Source organism: Homo sapiens, chromosome 1, assembly GCF_000001405.40.
Source record: "Homo sapiens chromosome 1, GRCh38.p14 Primary Assembly".
Taxonomy (NCBI): Eukaryota; Metazoa; Chordata; class Mammalia; order Primates; family Hominidae; genus Homo; species Homo sapiens.
Window position 1 is genome coordinate 179,952,648 of NC_000001.11, and position 21,552 is coordinate 179,974,199.

At 39.9% G+C, this 21,552-nt stretch overlaps 1 protein-coding gene and 1 pseudogene across 27 annotated transcripts in view, besides 3 other annotated features; both read left to right on the top strand.

Annotated features, from left to right (window-relative positions):
• Nucleotides 1,859-2,360: an enhancer, noted in NCBI's record as "H3K27ac hESC enhancer chr1:179923641-179924142 (GRCh37/hg19 assembly coordinates)". NCBI's record gives its function as "activates a minimal SCP1, AML or CMV promoter by ChIP-STARR-seq in primed H9 embryonic stem cells {active_cell/tissue: H9 hESC(primed)}" and the evidence as "EXISTENCE:reporter gene assay evidence [ECO:0000049][PMID:30033119]".
• Nucleotides 1,859-2,597: a biological region, named in NCBI's record as "H3K27ac hESC enhancer GRCh37_chr1:179923641-179924142".
• Nucleotides 2,148-2,597: a silencer, noted in NCBI's record as "silent region_1591". NCBI's record gives its function as "represses an Ori minimal core promoter by ATAC-STARR-seq in GM12878 lymphoblastoid cells {active_cell/tissue: GM12878}" and the evidence as "EXISTENCE:reporter gene assay evidence [ECO:0000049][PMID:35858748]".
• The window catches only part of CEP350 (centrosomal protein 350), a 160,066-nt gene continuing 140,676 nt past the window's right edge, over nucleotides 2,163-21,552 (top strand). For 12 of the 27 annotated variants that reach the window (XM_047435384.1, XM_047435387.1, XM_047435401.1 and 9 more), the window contains exon 1: nucleotides 2,576-2,771. Coding sequence is in view for 10 of the 27 variants with exons in the window: in XM_047435442.1 (XP_047291398.1) it covers nucleotides 2,457-2,495 (39 nt within the window). In the remaining 17 variants the exon portion in view is untranslated. Of the gene's footprint in view, nucleotides 2,496-2,574; nucleotides 2,772-21,552 lie in introns of those variants that run through there. The other 15 variants (NM_014810.5, XM_047435442.1, XM_047435459.1 and 12 more) reach the window with 3 other exon arrangements.
• On the top strand, nucleotides 15,948-16,934 carry RPSAP16 (ribosomal protein SA pseudogene 16; annotated as a pseudogene).

Sequence of the window (21,552 nt, forward strand, 5' to 3'; positions counted from 1 at the left end):
AACGGGTAATTGGAGATTTAGTCTAGGGCCAAGATCCAGTTATCCAAAGAGTGGTGAGAGTCAAGGCCACAGTAATCAACAAAGAATATAAAGAAAAATGCAATCTTAGTGTCTACTAAAAAGTAGGAGAAACAAGGGAGCCATATTGAATACCTATTACCGGCCTAACACTGCGGAGACGTCTGGGAAGGGCCACAAACCTTTCCACAGTAAACCTCCAATCTTGTTCCAGAGATTAATTACTCTCATGAAACTATATGCAACTAGTACAAAACTTGATAGATTCAGGGCCAATCTGTAGGGTAAACACAAGAGTAACGGGATATTAGAAAAGAAAGACATTGATGTGCTTGGGGAATTTAGGAGGCGAGGAGAAGACAGACCAACACAAGGTATAAGAAGTAGAAATTGTGCATAGGCTGATACCAGGGTAACCCTGCTCTGAGCACAGTGACAGAACTTTGGTGTCTTCTCTGTTGTCAAGGGGATAGCATGGGGCTGAAAAAGTATAAACAGGCTTTGGGGCAAAGCAGATCCCAAAGCTTACAGCTCCCTTTTATTGATGGTATAAAATTGGGCAAATTACTTAGCTTTTTCAGTACTTGTTTCTTTTTCTTTCTTTCTTTCTTTTTTTTTATTTTTTTGAGATGGAGTCTCACTCTGTTGCCCAGGCTGGAGTGCAGTGGTGCGATCCCGGCTCACTGCAACCTCCGCCTCGCAGGTTCAAGCGATACTCCTGCCTCCGCCTCCCGAGTAGCTGGGATTACAGGCACCCGCCACCACGCCCGGCTAATTTTTGTATTTTTAGTAGAGACGGGGTTTCACCATCTTGGCCAGGCTGGTCTTGTACTCCTGACCTCGTGATCCACCCGCCTCGGCCCCGCAAAGTGCTGAGATTACAGGCGTGAGCCACTGTGACCGGCCAGTACGTGTTTCTTCGTTTTAAAAAAGTGAGTATATTTAATAAGGTGGTTGTTTACATTCAGTAAAATAGCGCATGAAAAGCATCTAACACAGGGCTTTAAACAGCAAGACTGGGCAAAACCTAAATAACATTTTCCTTATGTTGTCTTTTTTGCTACCACTTGCACCATACGATTACCCACATTTCCTGTCCCCTCCAGTGCAGCTTCCTGGAGACACTTCACACGTATGCAGGACTTCTGTACATCCTACTCAGGCACAGCTGTAGGCCCTACAAAGAGGGACCATTTACTGCCTCCTGCTGTCATTGATATTCGACAAACATTTATTGAGCACCTACAATGTCCTAGTTACTGTGCTAGGCCATTTTGGGGTATAGAGAGATAAAACAGATCTTAAAGTCTTCACGACACTTAAAGATGAGAAACAGTCTCTGGGTAAATAACTATCGGAGTTCAGAAGGTGGACAGAAGTGGTGGGCGGCGAGTCTGTGTGCAGTGAGCACCTAGCGGAAGATGGCATTATTTGCAGAAGAGAGGTCCTTTAAGCCAAGTCTTGATAGATGATTTCACCACGCGGAGATTGGGAAACGAGGACAAAGATATGAGAAGATATGTTGGCCACAGAGAGCCTCTCAAAGCACTGTTAAAGCAAAGCCAATACTTAATGGGAGGAAACTCCGTTTTACTTGCGTGGAGTCTTAAGTCATTAGATGCATGCTAAACAGAACTGTAACCCTCGCGAATAAAACGGCCACAGTGACAGCAGTGGGTAACGGCAGAGCTGCAACTACTCTGACAGGGGTGACGACTTATTTGGACGACAGTTGGTGAAACATTGTAAACTCTCAGAAGCTGCCGTTTCCAGACTTTGAGTTCATTCTTGTCGAATCCCCAGCTTGTTTTCTCAGCCCGGGGTGAAATGCGCAGCCAAAAGGCCCAATGAGCGTCAAAGCGAAAGGGCAGGGGTGGTCTCTTCTGCGGATATACCTTGGCTCCTCCCAAGTCCTACGAGTTTAAACTTCGACGCACCAAACATGGCTTCTTCGCGGTTCTGCTCCTTGTTTTATTTCGCTCCCACCTTTCGGCCACACTCAACATGGCCCTAACCGAAGGTTGGCATGCCTGTGGCACTGTCTCGGGACAGTTCTCGCGAGGTTTGCCTGGGCCCGACTGCTCCCGCCCTGCCTCGCGCCGCCGCCACAGCCGCTGCCGCTGGCGCCGCTCCTCCTCCGTGTCAGTTGTTGGGCTGTAATGGCGACTGGGCCGCCCCTGACGAAGTGACTCCCGGGCCGGGGAGCGGGGCCAGACCTGCGCCAGAGAGAACTGCAGGGAGCCGCAGCTCGGGGGGTGGCTTGCCCTGAGGGAGGGGAGGCAGCCTTTCCGCCTTGTCTTCCTTCCCAGCGGACCGGCGGATCCCCGGAGCCGGTGCGAGGAGGGCACCCGGTGCGTCCCCGGAGCGGGGAGGCCAGGCCGGGCAGCCCTGGGGCCGGTCGGGGCGGCGTCACTGCACCCTCCGCCAGGCTCCGCGGGATGCACCGTGGTAGCCGAGGGCGGAGGCGACACTCTCAGGTGAGCTCCTGTAGGACCTGGCTGGGACCGCGGAGTCTCGCTCAGCCTCAACTGTCTCTGTCCGCGGTCCCGGGTCCCCGGTGGCGGCAAGAGAGGCGGGGCCGGGCGCGGAGAGTCTTGGCCCTGCTTGGCGTCCCCCTCGGGGAACCTCCCTGGGTTCTGAGGCTTTTCGGGGACCTAGGTTTCGGGTCCCACCAGTGCCTGCTGAAGACGGAATTTCCTTCCTTACGTGCCAGTGTCCTCCCGCCTCCTCCACCCCTCCTCTAGCCTGCAGAGGTAAGATACCTCTAGCCTTTGCTGCCCGGAGAAGTGTCCCTTCTTCATCTGGCGATCAGGCGTATTTGGGGAGATTCCGGGGACTGGCTCCAGTGGCAGGGATGATCAGTTTCTGTTCCTTTTCAGTGGGGATCACATTCTCAAGTATAGGGAAAACTTTGATCTACTCTAGTCTAGCGGCTGCTGAAGGTAGTTTATTCACAGATAATTTGGGGAAAGATTTAAAAGGCTTTATGTTTTGGAAGTTGTCAGTATTTTCCTCTGCCTTTTAAATGCAGCTCAACATGCTAAGTAATATTTAGCTAATGTCACAAGATATGAATTGGAATTTGCCTGGATTTTAAATATTCAGATAGAAAGTTGCACATAGGCATAGATTTTAATGTTTTAATGCAGTAGCAAATCCTTCATATGGGAAAAAACAGGTTGTCAGAAATAGTGATCAATATCCATGTACTCCACCTGATTGTTTTGTTTTGATGGTGATCCTTGTTTTGAATTTGGGGAAGTCGTTATTGTTGCCATGTTAACGATACCTCCTGCCCTGTATTTGAAGAGTTTTAAAAGAAAGACTATCTTTGGCAGAGCTAGTAACAATCTGAAAAGTTCTGTAGAAACAATGATAAAATACTAAAAGTTGCCCTCCATTCTGAAAATTTCTTCGTTTAATATATTGTTTTTAAACAAGGAAATGCACTGCTAATGACATGGAATTGTGACTTTGAGGGATTGTTAGACCCATGCTGGAAGTTGCTTCAAAGCCATGGGCGTATAATAATTAGTTTCGGTGTGCTAAATTGACAAATTTTATTTAATGTAATGAAATAAATCTGAATCATTTGAACTGTCAGTGCATTAAATTTAAGATACTGTAATCTGAAAATAAACTTCAAGCTAGAATACATTGTATATGTGGATAAATACATGTGTATCTCTGTATCTCTTCATCCTCAGTAGCAAAATTTTGTGTATGTAGAGATGGCAAGTTGTATATGTAAAAAATTTCATACGTATGTGAACATATTTCTTTGATTTTCTGAGATAAATTGGTGTGTGTGTCATGTAAGAGCGTTAATACTTAAACAGCCAACCTTCTGTGGGGCAATCAATTTATGAATTATAAAGTTTTTGGATTTTTTCCTTCTGCTTCTGATTGTCAGTCTTTTGCCCATTTTATAACACTTCTACCATATATGAGCAGAAGAAAGGAGATGAAGTACTGCTATAATCAATTTTATTTGTTAAATTGCTATAATTTATAGTGGGAGCAAAAAAGAAGTCTAAAATAACTGACATCAGTTTTTGGTGTGCTTCTATATACATTATTTTATTTAGTTTTCACAGTGATCTTGTGAAGTAGGTATGGCAGATATCCTTATTTTGCAGTCGTGGAAACTGACACACAAGGAAGATCATTTATGTGAATGCCTCTCATTTCTGCAGATAATGTGGAATTATTTTTATTTTAAACTAAATATTAATATAGGTGCTCTGGCATTTGGTGTTATTTTAAAATATTAAAAAATTATTCTATTTTTGTTCCTTTTTACATGCCACTTGCCCCTTATGCTGATGATCGTCAGTTCTTTAAAAACATTAGTATTTTTATAACGTTTTGTTAATTATTGACAAGTCATGAATTATGATGGATCACTTACTTCTTTATGTATATACTTTTTGCTTGAACAAGATTATTAAAGTGTAGTTCATTTATTATCTTTCACTTTGGATACTCAGTTCTGTCATCTTTATTCTTTCAGTCATTTATACTCTTAGTTATGTAAAACAAACATTCAAGCCACATGATCAGTAACATAACTGAAAAGTAGTAATATCTTGATGATTTTATTGTTGAGACAACTGATGATTTAAAAAGTTAATTCTCTGCATATAATTGTGATTGTTATTTTTGCAACATGAGGCAAATTTTAGTGTTATAGTGTAAAAAAATCATCAGATTGCATAGTATTTTTTTCTGTATTGATTTGTTGTTGTTGTTGTTCATTGTTATCATAAGTGTGATTTTACATTTACTTGTGGTTATTTTGAGTTATTCTTTGCCTTTCTCATCTGGTCTGTAAGTTCCATGATGGCAGAGATCCTTTAATCACTATTATGCACCCAGTGCCTAGCATATGGTAACATAGTCAATAAATACTAATTGAAGAAATTGACTAAAGAATAGTCCCAGAATAATATTTTAAATGCAAAACAAAACAAAAGACTAGTTCTTAGTTCCTAAGCACACCTCAACTCTTGGGAATATATTCCAGAGATATGCTCAGATTTGCTGGGTAGCAAGGGAATGACAGCCTGGGATTAAAAAGCCACTGGGAATAAGCCACAGTGGAAACTTCATTTACTATTTTAATGATTTGCCTAGGTGCTCTGGCAACAGGTTACGGTAATTTAAAGAAAATATAAACTTTAAGACCCTAACCTGTTATACTAGTACTATAATTATAGCCTTGTAATAACTTTAAGTCACTTCTTAATCTCAGTATTGGGAGTTTAAATTCTTCAAGGCCAGCTAGTCCAATTCCCATATTTTATACATAAGAAAACAGAAGGTTGTATAGGGGCGATATCTCATGCATAGTTGATTTCATAACTGGGAGAAGAATCCATTGCACAGCTGCTAAGTCTACATTTGTTTAATATGTCAGATAATTATAAAATCAGAACATAATTGTGATCAACTTGGCAGTCTATTCAGTATTAATTAAAAACTCAAAATGGGCCTTTTTTTTCATGAATCCAAAGTGTTAACTTAAAAATGAATCTGAACCCTTTCCTCTGTAGTTGGGACTATAAATTGATACCATTGGAGCAACCTTCTGGAAGGAAATTTGGCATTCCCTATCAAGATTAAAAGTATATATATTGTTTGATAGAATCATTTCCTGCTTAAAATTTATGTTACATAAATTTTAACAGCATAGGAATTGTATAAGAATGTTTATATTAGCATTATTTCAAGATGTCAATAACATTTATAAATAATTTAAAAATGTCCTAAATGTCTGTTGGTAGGCTAATAGTTAAAAGTCTAGTATTTTTATGCTGTGAATTACTGTGCAGTTGTTAACAGGTTTCAGGGTATCTATATTTACTTCATGAGCAGCAGCTGAGCATATCCTTCAGCTCCTGGAACCATGCGGTGGACCTTCTGGATTCAAAACCTAACTGCACTACTTTCTAGCTGTGACTCTTGGCGAATTACTTAAAGTCAACTATAAATTGGATATACTAGTAGTTCTCATGTTACAGGGGTACCATGAGAATTAAATGAGTTAACAGTTAGGCCCTAAATAAGCATTAATAAGCGCCACATAAGTGTTTGCTGTTACAATTATGTATTGACTTGGAAGAATGTTCATGATATAAAATTAAGTGAAAAAATAAGTTGCACTATACTATAGAATATGATTTATTTAAAAAACACATAGACAAATGTAGTTTTGTTTTCATTTTGCATGTGAATAGAAAAAGGTCTATAAGGATAGACATTAAACATGTTATTCCTGAGGGAGTGGATGACTTTTCTTTTTTACTTTAGACATTTTTGTATGGTTTTATTGTAAGAATCACTTTTATAATTTTTGAAACTTTTTTCTAAAAAAAGGAAGTAAATTTTTTCTTCTATTAAATAGTGATATAAATGTATTTTTGAATGTGATTTTTAGAGATCTACACATTTCATCAACAGAGTGTCTCATAATTAGATCCTGTGTCAAAACATTTGTTGATGGAAGGGCTGGGACTTGGTGGCTCACGCCTGTAATCCCAGCTCTTAGAGAGGCCGAGGCAAGTGGGTCACTTGAGGTCAGGAGTTCGAGACCGGCCTGGCCAACAAGGCGAAACCCATCTCTACTAAAAATACGAAAACTAGCAAGGCGTGGTGGCAGGCCTGTAATCCCAGCTACTGGGGAGGCCAAGGCAGGAGAATTGCTTGAACCAGGGAGGTGGAGGTTGCAGTGAGCCAAGACTGCCACTGCACTCCAGCCTGGGCAACAGAGCAAGACTCCATCTCAAAACAAACAAAACTTTTGTTGGCTGGGTGCGGTGTCTCATGCCTATAATCCCAGCACTTTGGGAGGCTGAGGCGGGCAGATCACCTGAGATTAGGAGCTTCAGACCAGCCTGGCCAACATAAGGAAACCCCATCTCTACTAAAAGTAAAAAACTAGCTGGGCATGGTGGCAGGCTCCTATAATCCCAGCTGCTGGGGAAGCTGAGGCAGGAGAATTGCTTGAACCTGAGTGGCAGAGGTTGCAGTGAGCCAAGATTGCACCACTGCACTCCAGCCTAGGTGACAGAGGAAGACTCTGGCTCAAAACAGACAAACAAACAAAAAAACTTTTGTTGGCAGAAGGTTGAAATTTAGGAAAATCTATAATAAATATATTTGTTTTTCTCCTAGCTTTGTAGCCTTAAGTCTTATTTCTTACTTTACAAAGTAAACCCGTAGGCTAGATCAGTGTTTCTTAAATCCAGTATTCCTAAACTGTGCACTGAAGTAAATCCTCACTTAATGTTGTCCATAAGTACTTGGAAACTGCAACTTCTAAGACCCCAAACACCTCTAATATTAAACATTGAAATAAATGGGTCCTATGCATACATTTAAGAAATACTAAAAACAAGATAATTACCCACTTATTTCAGTTCAGGATGGCAGGTGGCTGGAGCCTGTCCCGGCAAGTAGGGCACAAGATAGGCTGCCATTCCATTGCAGGTAGCATTTACAGACACACACACACCCACCCACCCACCCACATTCACTCAGACTGGGACCATATAGACATGCCAATTCATGTCAGTTCACCTAATGCGTGCACCTCTCTGATGTGGGAGGAAACTGGAGCATACGGAGAAAAGCCACACAGACATGGGGAGAACATGCAGGCTCCACATAGATGGTAGCCCTGGTGGGGAAATCAAAATTTTTTTCTCATCAAAATTGTGAAGAAATGATATTGAATGAAACTATGTTATGGAGGACCTGCCGTACTGTGGAGCACCATAGTAACTCACCTGGACACTATGCATTATTTGAGAAATTTTAATGGAAACAGCAATATTGGATAGCTGTGGGATATTTGACATCTATAGGACACTACTCAAACTACCAGTTTGAGATACCACACAAGAGATTGTGTTCCATTTTTTTTGATGACACTGTGTCTTCCAAACGCTAGGTTTTGGGAGTTTGCTGTGATAAAAAGCAAGTACTATGCAAAAATCAATTTGGAACAGTAAATGAAGGTGGTGGTGTCCAAAATGATTTCAAGATTTGAGAACTTGTGTAATATCTAGTAGGTACACACATCCTATTAAGTAGTTGTGGTAATTTAGTAATAAAAATATTTATTTCAATTTATACATATTTATTTTTCGATCTGCTACTAAGTTGGTAGGCTATAAATACTTTTTAGGTTGTGGACTGAACTACTTAGTAAATGGAACTGTTAGGTATTTTTTTGGCCTAGGGGTTCCATGAAAAAAATAACTGGCATACTGAGGGGTCTGTGAACTGAGAAAGTTTAGGAACCTCTTGAACTTTTGACCAGGACACCTATATATATTTTCCATGTTCTGTGCTCCCAAAGGTTGATTTTTTACATTTATCTTTATTTTTTATTTTTTTAAATAAAAAGAATAGATGTGTGTTATACGTGTATGTGTATACATATAATGAATCAAAAGTTTCACTTTTCAAAGTTTTACTTTAAACAGCCTCATGGCCAGGCGCGGTGGCTCATGCCTATAATGCCAGCACTTTGGAAGGCCGAGGTAGGCAGATCATTTGAGGTCAGGAGTTCAAGACCAACCTGGCCAACGTGGTGAAACACCATCTCTACTAAAAATACAAAAAAATTAGCTCGGCGTGGTGGCGCGCACCTGTAATCCCAGTTACTCAGTAGGCTAAGGCAGGAGAATCACTTGAACCTGGGAGGTGTAGGTTGCAGTGAGCCGAGATCGCGTCACTGCACTCCAGCCAGGGCGACAGAGAGACTGTGTCTCAAAAATAAAATAAAATAAAATAAAGCGCTCACTACCTTCAATACACTTGATATTTGCAAATCAATCCTATTTAGTTCCATTAAAAAAATGCTAGCTCCAATCCACGATATTGTTTTGTTTTGTTTTAATCTACTAACGGGTCATGACTACACACTTGATAATATGATGCTGGTTGACTCCTAACGTCCAGCTTTAATACGGTTTGTTTCTCTGGTTAGTTATAAATGAAGTTAGACTACGCTTTAGCTTTTATTTTAGATTTGGGTTGTGGGGGATACACGTGCAGGTTCGTTACATGGGTATATTGCATCATGCTGAGGTTTGGGCTTCTGTTGAACCTATCACTGAAATAGCGAACATAGTACCCAGTAGGTTGTTTTTCAACCTTTACCCCTTACCTGTCACTTCCCACCTTTTTTTTTGAGATGGAGTCTCTGTCACCCAGGCTGGAGTGCAGTGGCTTGATCTAGGCTCATTGCAACTTCTGCCTCCCAGGTTTAAGCGATTCTCCTGCCTCAGCCTCCCGAGTAGCTTGGACTACAGGTACGAGCCACCATGCCCGGCTAATTTTTTGTATTTTTAGGAGAGATGGGGTTTCACCATGTTGGCCAGGCTGGTCTCAAACTTGTGAGCTCAAGTGGTCTGCCCACCTTGGCCTCCCAAGGTACTGGTATTACAGGCGTGAGCCACCACGCCCGGCCCTTTCCCACTTTTGGAATCCACAGTATCTTATTTTCATCTTTATGTCTATATTTACCTATTGTTTAGACCCCACTTACAAGTGAGAGAAGGTGTGATATTTGATTTTCTGTTTCTGCATTAATTTGCTTAGGATAATGACCTCCAGCTGCATCCATGTTGCTCCAAAGGACATGATTTCATTCATTTTTATGGCTACGTAGTATTCCACGGTGTATATGTACCACATTTTCTTTATCTAATCTACTGTTTTTTGTTTGTTTGTTTGTTTTGTTTTGTTTTTGAGGCAGAGTCTCGCTCTGTTGCTCACGCTGGAGCGCAGTGACGTGATCTTGGCTCACTGCAACTTCCGCCTCCCGGGTCCAAGCAATTCTCCTGCCTCAGCCTCCTGAGTAGCTGGGATTACAGGCACATGCCACCATGCCTGGCTGATTTTTGTATTTTTAGTAGAGATGGAGTTTCACTATGTTGGTCAGGCTGGTCTCAAACTCCTGACCTCATGATCTGCCCACCTCGGCCTCCCAAAGTGCTGGGATTACAGGCATGAGCCACTGCTCCCGGCCTATCTGATCTACTGTTGATAGGTACTTAGTTTGATTCAATGACTTTGCTGTTGTGAATAGTGCTGTGATAAACATACTAGTGCAGTGTCTTTTTGATAGAATGATTTCTTTTCCTTTGGATAGATACCCAGTAGTGGGAATGCTGGGTCTAATGATAGTTCTAAGTTCTTTGAGAAATCCCTCTACTCTTTTCCACAGGGGTTGAACTAATTTACATTCCCACCAGCAGTGTATGATACTCCCTTTTCTCTGCATCCTTGTCATCTGTTATTTTTTAACTCTTTAATAATAGCAATTCTGACTGGTGTGAGATGGTATCAGTGTGGTTTTAATTTGTATTTTATTGATGATTAGTGATTCTGAGCATTTTTTTCATATGTTTGTTGGCCACTTGTATGTCTTCTTTTGAGAAGTATCCGTTTATGTCCATTGCTCACTTTTTAATGGAGTTATTTTTTTTTTCTTGTTCATTTGTTTGAGATTCCTTGTAGATTCTGGATCCTAGTCCTTTGTCAGATGTACAGTTTGCAAATATTTTTTTCCCATTCTTTAGGTTACCTCTTTACTTTGTTGATTCTTTTGCTATGTAGAAGCTTTTTAGTTTAATTAAATCTTGTTTATGAATTTTTGTTTTGTTGCATTTGCCTTTGAGGTTTTAGTCATAAATTCTTTGCCTAGGCCCATGTGCAGAAGAGTTTTTCCTAGGTTTTTTAAAATAGGATCTTTATAGTTTGAGGTTTTATGTTTAAGTCTTTAATACGTCTTGAGTTAATTTTTGTATGTGGTGAAAGGTAGGGGGTCCAGTTTCATTCTTCTGCACATGCTAGCCAGTTTTTTTGTGTGTTTTTTGGGTTTTTTTTTCTTTTTAGCACTGTTTATTGAATAGGTGTCCTTTCCCCATTTTTGCTTTTGTCAGCTTTGTTCAAGATCAACTGGTTATAGGTGTATGGCTTTATTTCTGGGTTCTCTATTCTGTTACATTGATACAGATGTCTGTTTTTGTATTGGTAACATGCTGTTTTGGTTAGGATATCCTTGTAGTATAGTTTGAAGTTGGGTAATGTGATGCCTCCTGCTGTGTTCTTTTTGCTTGGCTATTCAGGCTCTTTTTTGGTTCCATATGAATTTTAGAATTGTTTTTTCTAATTTGTGAAAAATGATGTTGCTAATTTGATGGGAATAGAATTTTTGGATTGTTTTGGGCAGTATGGTCATTTAAATTTTGATTCTTCCAATCCATGAGCATGGAATGTTTTTCCATTTGTTTGTGTCATCTGTTATTTCCTTCATCAGTGTTTTGTAGTTCTCCTTGTAGAAATCTTTCACCTCCCTGGTTAAATTTATTCCTGGGTATTTTATTTTTCATGTGGCTATTATAGATGGGATTGCATTTTTGATTTGGTTCTCAGCTTGAACATTATTGGCATATAGAAATGCCACTGACTGTTGTAAGTTGATTTTGCATCCTGAAACTTTACTGAAGTCTTTTTCTTAGGTCTAGGAGTTTTTTGAAGGACTCCTTAGGGTTGAACAGAGATAATTTGAGTTTCTCTTTTCCTATATGGATGCCTTTTTTTAAATTTTAATTTTCTGCCTGATTCCTATGGGTAGGATGGAAAGTATTATGTTGAATAGGAGTCGTAAGAGTGCACATCCTTGTCTTTTTTCAGTTCATAGAGGGGATGCTTCTAACTTTTGTCCATTCAGTGTGATCTTGATTTTTTGGAGTAGTTTCAGTAAGATTGATACCAGCTCTTCTTTGTTTGTCTGGTATAATTTGGCTGTGAATGCATCTGATCCTGGTCTTTTTTTGGTTTGTAGATTTGTTTTTATAACTGATTCAATTTTGTAAATTGTTATGATCTGTTCAGGATTTCAGTTTCTTCCTTGTTCAATCTTGGGAGGTTGTGTGTTTCCAAGAATTTATCCATTTCCTCTGGTTTTTCTAGTTTGTGCACATAAAGATGTTCATAGTAGTCTCTGAGGCTCTTTTGTATTTTTGTAGTATGAGTTCTGTCACCTTTGTCATTTCTGATTATGCTTCTTAGGATCTTCTCACTTTTTTTTTTTTTAATTTACTTAGAGGTTTATCTATCTTGCTTATCCCTTCAAAGAACTAACTTTGTTCTGTTGATCCTTTGTATGTTTTTTTTGTTGTTGTTTGTTTGTTTGTTTGTTTTGGTCTCAATTAATTTAGTTCTGCTCTGATCTTAGTTACTTCTTTTTTTTCTGCTAGCTTTGGGTTTAGTTTGTTCTTTTTCTGGTTCCTTTAAGTTCAACTTTAAGTTGTCAATTTGATATCTTACTGTCTTTTTGATGTAGGCATTTAGTGCTGTAAACTTTCTCCTTAACATTGCTTTTGCTGTATCCCAGAGGTTTTGGTATGTTTGTTTCTCTATTTTCATTTGTTTCAAAGAATTTTTTTATTTCTGCCTTAATTTGTTGTTTAACCAAGTTAGTTAGGAGCAAGTTGTTTAGTTTCCATGTATTTGTGGTTTTGAGAGTTCCTTTTGGTATTGATTTCTAATTTTATTCTACTGTAGTCTGATAATATGCTTGACATGATTTCATTTTTTAAGAATGTATTGAGACTTGCTTTATGACTGAGCTTGTGGTCCATCTTAGAGAATGTTCCATGTGCAGATGAGAGTGTATATTCTGTGATTTTTGGGTACAGTATTCTGTAGAAGTCTGTTAGGTCCGTTTGGTCAAGTGTCTAAGTCCAGAGTTTCTTTGTTAGTTTTATGCTTTGACGTTCTGTTTCTAATGTATATAGGCACATACATTTACAAATGGAAATCTCCTTTATAGATGTAAATTTCTTTTACAGAAGGATTTCAGAATAGCCAGCTAAATGCCAGAAAGGTTTATTTTAATTGGACAAGTGATCTTTTTTCTTTTTCTTTTCTTTTTTTTTTTTTTTTTTTTTTGAGATAGAGTCTTACTCTTGTCACCTAGGCTGGAGTGCAGTTGTGCAATCTCGGCTTACTGCAACCTCCGCCTCCTGGGTTCAGGCGATACTCCTGTCTCAGCCTATTGAATAGCTGGGATTACAGGTGCCCGCCACCACACCTGGCTAATTTTTTTTTTGTACTTTTAGTAGAGACGGGGTTTCACCATGTTGGCCAGGCTGGTCTTGAACTCCTGACCTCAGGTGATCCACTTTCCTTGGCCTTCCAAAGTGCTGGGATTACAGGCATGAGCCACTGTGCTCGGCCTACAGGTGATCTTTTTAACCTAGCTACTATTTCTTAGCTGAAATTACTAAGTTCAGGATGGAGCCCATTAAGGAATAGGGCAAAGAAAGCCTTCTCTGTACCTGGACTCAGCAAAAATAGATCTGAAAAAGGAGGAAGCTTACTTTACCTGGCAACCTACCTTTTATAAACGCTATCTAGGATAACTTTCTTTTCACCTTCAGGGAAGAGTAGTAACGGAGCTGAAAGATTAGCAGATTTAATTTTTCTTAACAATTAGTTGCTTAAGCTTTTTATTTGCCTTCTATAAAGAGTCTTTTTATAAAAAGCAATAAAAATATTGAAATCTTTTTAGAAGCTTCTGCACACCAACAGGCATCCCTAGATGAGACTGATTTGGGAGCCCTCATTTTCAAATGTACTTCTTAAAGTGCAGTGTTCATTTGGAATGTACCGTTGTGATTTTAAATTACCTTTAGTAAGATTTCATCATTTTTGTAAGCATTTGCTGCTTCTGAGGCCTAATAATAATGCATGTATAAGCTGGAAGGTGTAGTACTCAGGTCTTCAGAAATTAAGGATCCCATTTTTACCTTGAATAGCAGCTTTGGTCCTTGGATCCCTTTGATCAACTTAGCCAATGATTTTTCCCTCCCTAAGCATGCAAGAAAAATAAACAAAGGGGGCTAGAACACAAAAATCTATGCAAATTTCTGAAAGCTGAAATTGGTACCCCCTTCAGTATTATCATTTATACTAATTTCTGTCTAAACCAGCCAGACATATGAGGCCTCTAACTAGATCCAAGACAGTTAGATACAGTTGGATCCTGGACCCAGTCCAATTTCTGTTGTAACTTCCAAACCTAGTTTGGATCAGAAATTTGCTCAAACTCTGATAGCTCAAATGCACACTGATGGAGCTTCAGAATCTGAGAGAGAACTTACCCACAATCTCCAGTTGCTTTGAGAGAGCAGTGGACAAAATGAGTCCAGTGGGTACCTTGCTTTGTCACTTGGTGTTCCTGGGAGTTGCTAGAAGCTTTAGTTTGGATCCCACTTCTGACACCATCTATTAAAATTAAAAACCTTAGACAAATTAAATTTAACAGAATTTGATTGAGCAAAGAAGAGTTCATAAATCAGCCAGCTTCCAAACCAGAATAGGTTCAGAGAGGCTTCTTAGACTATACTTTATACAATAGATCATCTCTGAAAATGTGTACAGTTGCTCTATTTTTGTATGATAAGTTATTAAATGTTATAGAGCAATAATGATGTAAAGAAGACCTTTGTACAAATAGAAGGATATTTTTCCAAAGAAAATCTGATTTATCTTTGATTAGTTTGGGTTTTGGTGATTTTTTTAAAAAGCCATTTATAGTTTTTGTTGTTGTTAGTGGGCTTGTAGAAGTTGTTTCTGGAATTGTGGCACCCTCCTTTTTAAAAACTATATCTAAAAATCAGTGATAAGTAATAGTAATAGCACTGGCTATAACTTAATGTTTCATTTCTTTTCTTTTTTTGAGACTGAGTCTCACTCTGTCGCCCAGGAGGGAGTACAGTAGCGTGATCTTGGCTCACTGCAACCTCCGCCTTCCGGGTTCAAGCAGTTCTCCTGTCTTAGCCTCCCAAGTAGCTGGGATTACAGACATGCACCACCACGTCCAGCCAATTTTTGTATTTTTAATAGAGATGGGGTTTCACCATGTTGGCCAGGCTGGTCTCCAACTCCTGACCCCAGGTGATCGCCCACCTCGGCCTCCCAAAGTGCTGGTATTACAGGTGTAAGCCACCGGGCCCAGCTGGCTTCATTTCATTCATTATTTCATGTCTAAATTTTAAAAGTGAAAATATTTTATGAAAGAATTTATTTTTAATTTTGAGATTGTTTTAAAATATAAAATATGTATGCACACGTATACTTATTTTTTTACGTGTTACCGTGTAAGATATTTTCTGCTTAGGAATGTCTAACCTTTTCATGTTATATGAAATACCTGGCTTCATATGTGTATTTGTGCCTTTTTGCATTTAAGAATTGGATTCTGAGACTTATCAATGGTACTGTCATTTGGCAAACAGGTCTGGAGCACTCAATGTGGCTATATACTGTGCGTGAACTAGGGATATAAAGAGGAATAAGAGCAGGTGCTGTGGCTCAGGCCTATAGTCCCAGCACTCTGGGAGGCCAAGGCGGGTGCATCACCTGAGGTCAGGAGATCGAGACCAGCCTGGCCAACATGGCGAAACCCCATCTCTACTAAAAATATAAAAATTAGCTGGGCATGATGGTATGTGCCTGTAATCCCAGCTACTAGGGAGGCTGAGGCAAGAGAATCGCTTGATCCCGGGAGGTAGAGGTTGCAGTGAGCCGAGATTGCGCCACTGCACTCCCGCCTGGATGACAAGAGCAAGACTCTGTCTCCAAAAAAAAAAAAAAAAAGAGGAATAAAATATCTCTGCATCTCTGCAGTTTTATGTAAGAGACAGATATGTAAATAATAGTACAGAGGGGTAAAGAGAATTGATAACATTCTGTGGATGGATTCATAAAGAGGAAGCAAGTATACTGCATTAAGGAGTCATTAAAGGCTTCCAATGAAAGAAAAATTGTTTCCATTTCCTTAAACAGCCTCTCAGTTGACTAAGTTATTGAACGTGGAAGGAGACTTTTGAAAATTATCTTGCTTTCCACGCTACCCAGAGAGGGGTGCATACAGTGTTGTTCTGGATTCCCATTGTAACTTAAAGGGAAACTTTTACAATATCCAGAGGCCTTGATGTCCTTAAGTTCCTTGCAGGAGGAACCCACTTAGATGGCACCAGCCTTGACTTCCAAATGGAACAGTACATCTATAAAAGGAAAAGTAATGGCATCTACATCATAAATCTGAAGAGGACCTGAAAGAAGCTTCTGCTGGCAGCTCGTGCCATTGTTACCTTTGAAAACCCCGCTGATGTCAGTGTCATATTCTGCAGAAATACTGGCCAGAAGGCTGTGTTGAAGTTTGCTGCTGCCACTGGAGCCACTCCAATTGCTGACTGCTTTACTCCTGGAACCTTCACTAACCAGATCCAGGCAGCCTTCCGGGAGCCATGGCTTGTGGTGGTTTGACCACCAGCCTCAAACTGAAGCATCTTAGGTTAACCTACCTACCATTGCTCTGTGTAACACAGAGTCTCCTTTGCGCTGTGTGGACATTGCCATCCCGTGCAACAATAAGGAAGCTCACTCAGTGGGTTTGATATGGTGGGTGCTGGCCGGGGAAGTTCTGTGTGTGTGTGCCACCATTTCCTGTGAACACCCGTGGGAAGTCATGCCTGATCTCTACTTCTACAGAGATCCTGAAGAGACTGAAAAAGCAGAGCAGGCTGCTGCTGAAAACGCTGTGACCAAGGAAGAATTTTAGGGTGAATGGACTGTGTCAGCTCTGGAGTTTAACACTACTCAGCCTGAGGTTGCAGACTGGTCTGAGGGCGTGCGGGTGCCCTCTGTGCCTATTCAGCAGTTTCCTACTAAAGACTGGAGTGCTCAGAAGACTGGTCTACAGCTCCCACTGCTCAGGCCACTGAATGGGTAGGAATAAGCACTGAATTGGCCTTAAGCTGTTCTTGCATGGACTCTTAAGCAACATGGAAACAGGGTTGATGGAAAATAAGCAGCAGTTTCTAAAAAAGACAAAAACAAATTATTTCTTTTTTCCTTGAAGTTTTCCTCAAAAAGTGATCAGTGTGTCTGCTTTAAAAAAAGAATTCAGAAACAGAAGCTGGGTGTGGTGGTGTGTGCTGTAATCCCAGCTACTTGGGAGGCTGAAGTGGGAGGGTTGCTTGAGCCCAGGAATTCAGCAAGACTAGCCTGGGCAACAATGAGACCCTGTCTTCTAAAAAATAAAAAAAATATACACTGAAAAATCTACTTCCTATCCTGGACCCTCACTTCCTCTCCTTGGAGTTAACTAATAGTAACACTTTCTTATGTATAAGGGAAAATTTTATAGTGAAACTTTTATACTTTTAGGCAAAAAATAATCCTGACTTGCAAACTGTAAGACACCTTTTTGTAGATATATTCCTTGAAATTAATTTAGAAAAGTACTCAGGATAACTAGATAGTGAGTAAGCAAAAGTGTAGGCCTATTTTTAGGGCTCCCCCCTTCTTTTGGTTATTTCTGGTCCTGTTTGCTGCCCTCAGCTCTCCTAAAATAAAAAACTATGGGTGTCTTGTTTACGAAGTTTAGCTCTTTATTTCATCAGTGTGGGACATTGTGTTCTCTTTTATCCTTACTCTACTTCCTATGCTGCAAAGGCCAAAATAGTACTAATGTTACATAGTATCTTCTGGATTTCCTGGATTACAGTAAGTCACTCAGTTTTTGTAAAAGTAGTTTTTGAGGTTTATATTTTATAAGTAGAAACAGGTGAGACTAAATTCTCAGATTAGTGGTATATTAGAATATGTTATAGGACTGTTGGTTATTCTGGAATTTACTTGGAACAGTGTAATAGATCTGAGTTATAACTGAGTATTTTCCACTTTTTTGTCTGCTGGTCCTTACTAAATTTACCATTTGTCCATTTTATGTTGAGGATAGATAGTAGGAATATTGCAGAGTTGTCTTTTCTTAACCTTTCAGTTAACTTTTTCTTAACCTATCATAGATCTGATATAGATCAGAGAACTGAAATGTAGCAAAGGTGTGGAAAATATTCTAAGAGCCAGAATGAAGTCATTTTTTTCATCTTTTGTCCCTTAATGCCTGGCACTTAGTAGGAGGCCAATAAATATTGAGCAAAATGAAACTATGTGATTGGATGAAAACACTGTCAATACATGTGAAAGAAAAATTTGCTGTTAGAAGATAATTGAGAATTGGCTATTTCACAATGTCATCTTATATCTTACTTGTGTATACACACCACAGGTATAGATCATTGTTTCACAGATGTTTTGGTATAAGACTGCCTCATGCAGTTGACTTATGGAAGACTCAAAAAGATTTTGTTCATGTGGGATTTATCTGTTGATGTTTACTGTATTTGAAATTTTCAGTGTACTTGTTAGTTTATTTAAAATAATGATAAACCTATTACATGTTAAAATAATAACTTTTTGTTGTTGTTGTTTGTTTTTTTTTTTTTTGAGACAGAGTCTTGCTCTGTCGCTCAGGCTGGAGTGCAGCAGTGCAATCTCGGCTCATTGCAACCTCTGCCTCCCGGGTTTAAGCAATTCTCCTGCTTTAGCCTCCCAAGTAGCTGGGACTACAGGCACATGCCACCACACCCAGCTAATTTTTGTATTTTTAGTAGAGACTGGGTTTCACCATGTTGGCCAGGCTGGTCTCGAACTCCTGACTGCAGGTGATCTGCCTGCCTCGACCTCCCAAAGTGCTGAGATTATAGGCGTGAGCCACTGCGCCCTGCCTTGTTTTGTTTTTAAGACAGGGTCTCACCCCATTGCCCAGGCTGGAGTGTAGTAGTGCAATTATAGCTCACTGCAGTCTTGACGTTTAAGGCTCAAGTGATCCTCCAACCTCAATCTCCTGAGTAGTGGGGACTACAGGTGCATGCCACCACACCTGGCTAATTAAAAATTTTTTTTTGTGGACACTGGGTCTCACTTTGTTGTCCAGGCTGGTCTTGAACTCTTGGACTCAAGCAATCTTCCTATCTTGGCCTCCCAAAGCGCTGGGATTACAGGTGTGACCCACTGCACCTGGGCTTAACATTTTAAAATGGAAAATAACTAACTGTATCTCAACAATAAAAAGCAGTGAGTGGCATTGTTTGACATTTTTCAACTCTTTTTAGTGTCTGGTTTAATAGAAGACATCTGGATTCTCATATCTGCTTCTGTTTGCATTCAGTCTGCTGTGATATCATATGTCATGTGGCCTTTGGAAAACTCCATTGTACATTCATAAGAGAATGAGAATAAAAAAAGACAAAGTCTTAATATTATTATGGAAATAGTTTTGATTTCAAAGATGCTTCCTGAAAGAGTGTGAGAGACCCTCAAAGATCCCTGAACCATACTTTGAGAACTGGTAGTATAGATTATAACTTCAGAGTAGAAAAGAACCTTACAGGTCATATGGTCATCTCTTCTTGAGGTCACCTTTTCTTGTAGTTGTTTCTGGTTTATGCAGCTGGATGACTGAGATAAGGAATACCTCGTTTGTTTTTTGTGCGATAATGAGCTGGCTCTTGGAGATGGTGAGTTTAATGTGCCTTTCAGATTTCTAAATAAGCAGTTTGATATGTGGGTTAGGATATTAGAGGTAAAATCTGATGTTTTGGTAGTCATTGGCATGTAGGTGGTTTTGAAAGCCTTTTGCAAGAGTGAGGTCGCCCAGCGAGAGAGTATAGTGTTAGAAGCAAAAAAGCTGAAGGTCAAATCCTCCTGAACTTCAAGGTTTAAAAGGCATATGGAGAAAGACTAGCTAGTAAAGGAGACTGAGAAAGAGAACTAGAGAAGTGGGAAGATGTATGTATTGTATGTATGGAGTGTTGTGTATAGAAGTCAAGGGAAAAGAGTATGTATGGAAAATGTGTGTATGGAGTGTAGTGTATAGAAGTCAAGGGAAAAGAGTGCTGTTTATTTTATTTTTTATTTTTTGAGAGGGAGTCTTGCTCTGTCACCCAGGCTGGAGTGCAGTGGTGCAATATCAGCTCACTGCAACCTCCGACTCCCTGGTTCAAGCAATTCTCCTGCCTCAGCCTCCTGAGTAGCTGGGATTACAGGCACACGCCACCACACCCTGCCGAAAAGAGTGTTTTTAGAGAGTGGTCAATTGTAATGAAGCTGCCAGGAGGTCAAGTAGGTTGAGGATTGAAAATACCCATTAGATTTGGAGATGAAGAGGTTTTTGGTGATTTTAATGAGAGTTATTCAGAAATGGGGATGGCAACCACATTGGAGTTGCTTGAAGAGTCAGAGTCTAAATGGACACTGAGTGTATTTAACTTTTTTTTTTTTTTTTGAAACAGAGTCTCATTCTGTCGCCAGGCTGGAGTGCAGTGGCATGATCTCGGCTCACTGCAAGCTCCGCCTCCGGGGTTCACGCCATTCTCCTGCCTCAGCCTCCCGAGTAGCTGGGACTACAGGCGCCCACCACCACACCCCTTTAATTTTTTGTATTTTTAGTAGAGACGGGGTTTCACCATGTTAGCCAGGATGGTCTTGATCTCCTGACCTCGTGATCCATCTGCCTCAGCCTCCCAAAGTGCTGGGATTACAGGCGTGAGCCACCTCTCCCGGCCGCAATAGGTACAACATTTTTAACAAGGCAAATATGTTTTCTAAGTTGTAGCCTAATAATCAGCAGTGGTACCCCTCTAGTAATTCCTGCAAATAATCTATGTACATCATTCCCTTTTAAGAAACACTAACATTTTTTGTGAGGTTGAAGCCATAGACCTAGTAGTCAATCTTTGCTTTGCATGGGTAGCTGAGAGAAATGTCTTCCCTTCTGAGTAGTTTCTGCTGTTCAGTGAATCTAGATGGCAGTGTTTTCATTGTTCCAGTTTAACTGTTAATCACCCTGTTCCTGTCAGTGAGTGTATAAATGAGTATCCAGTAACGTTTATATGTATTTCTTATACTTTTTTTTAGTGTAATCATAATTAGGCTTTTACTTGGTGATAGAGCAGTAGTATTATCTTTTACTCCAGTTTTCTGATTTATTGCACATTAATGATGACATGCCTTTATCAAACGGCTCCCATTATTTCCATGACATCATATATTTAGCTTATTATGTGACTACTTGTAGCGCTTTTCTTTGCCCTGTTATCAGCGGGTCAAATTTTGTGTGTGTGTTCCTTGTAGTTTATTTTACTATGTATTCTTACAGGCTACTTGCAAAATAGTATGTGAATTTCATTTCCTTATTTTTCATTTCTTTTCATTTTCTATTTTTTCAATTTCTTTTTCTCCCCCTCATTTACTGCCGTAGTGATAAATATGTTAATTGTTCCTCTTTCTTTCTTATGAGTGGTTTTGCAGCCTGGCCCTTTAACTACCTCTTCTGCTTCTGAGATCATGTTTCTTAACGCTTCTGTTGACCCATCATACCTCCTTCTTCACCATTCATCCTTCCACTGGCAGCTGTGCCTTTGATTCTCCTTTATTTTTTTCTGTTTTTTTTTTGTTGTTGTTGCTGGTGTTTGTTTGTTTGTTTTGTTTTGTTTTGAGATGGAGTCTCGCTCTGTTGCCCAGACTGGAGTGCAGTGGCGTGATCTCGGCTCACTGCAAGCTCTGCCTCTCGGGTTCATGCCATTCTCCTGCCTCAGC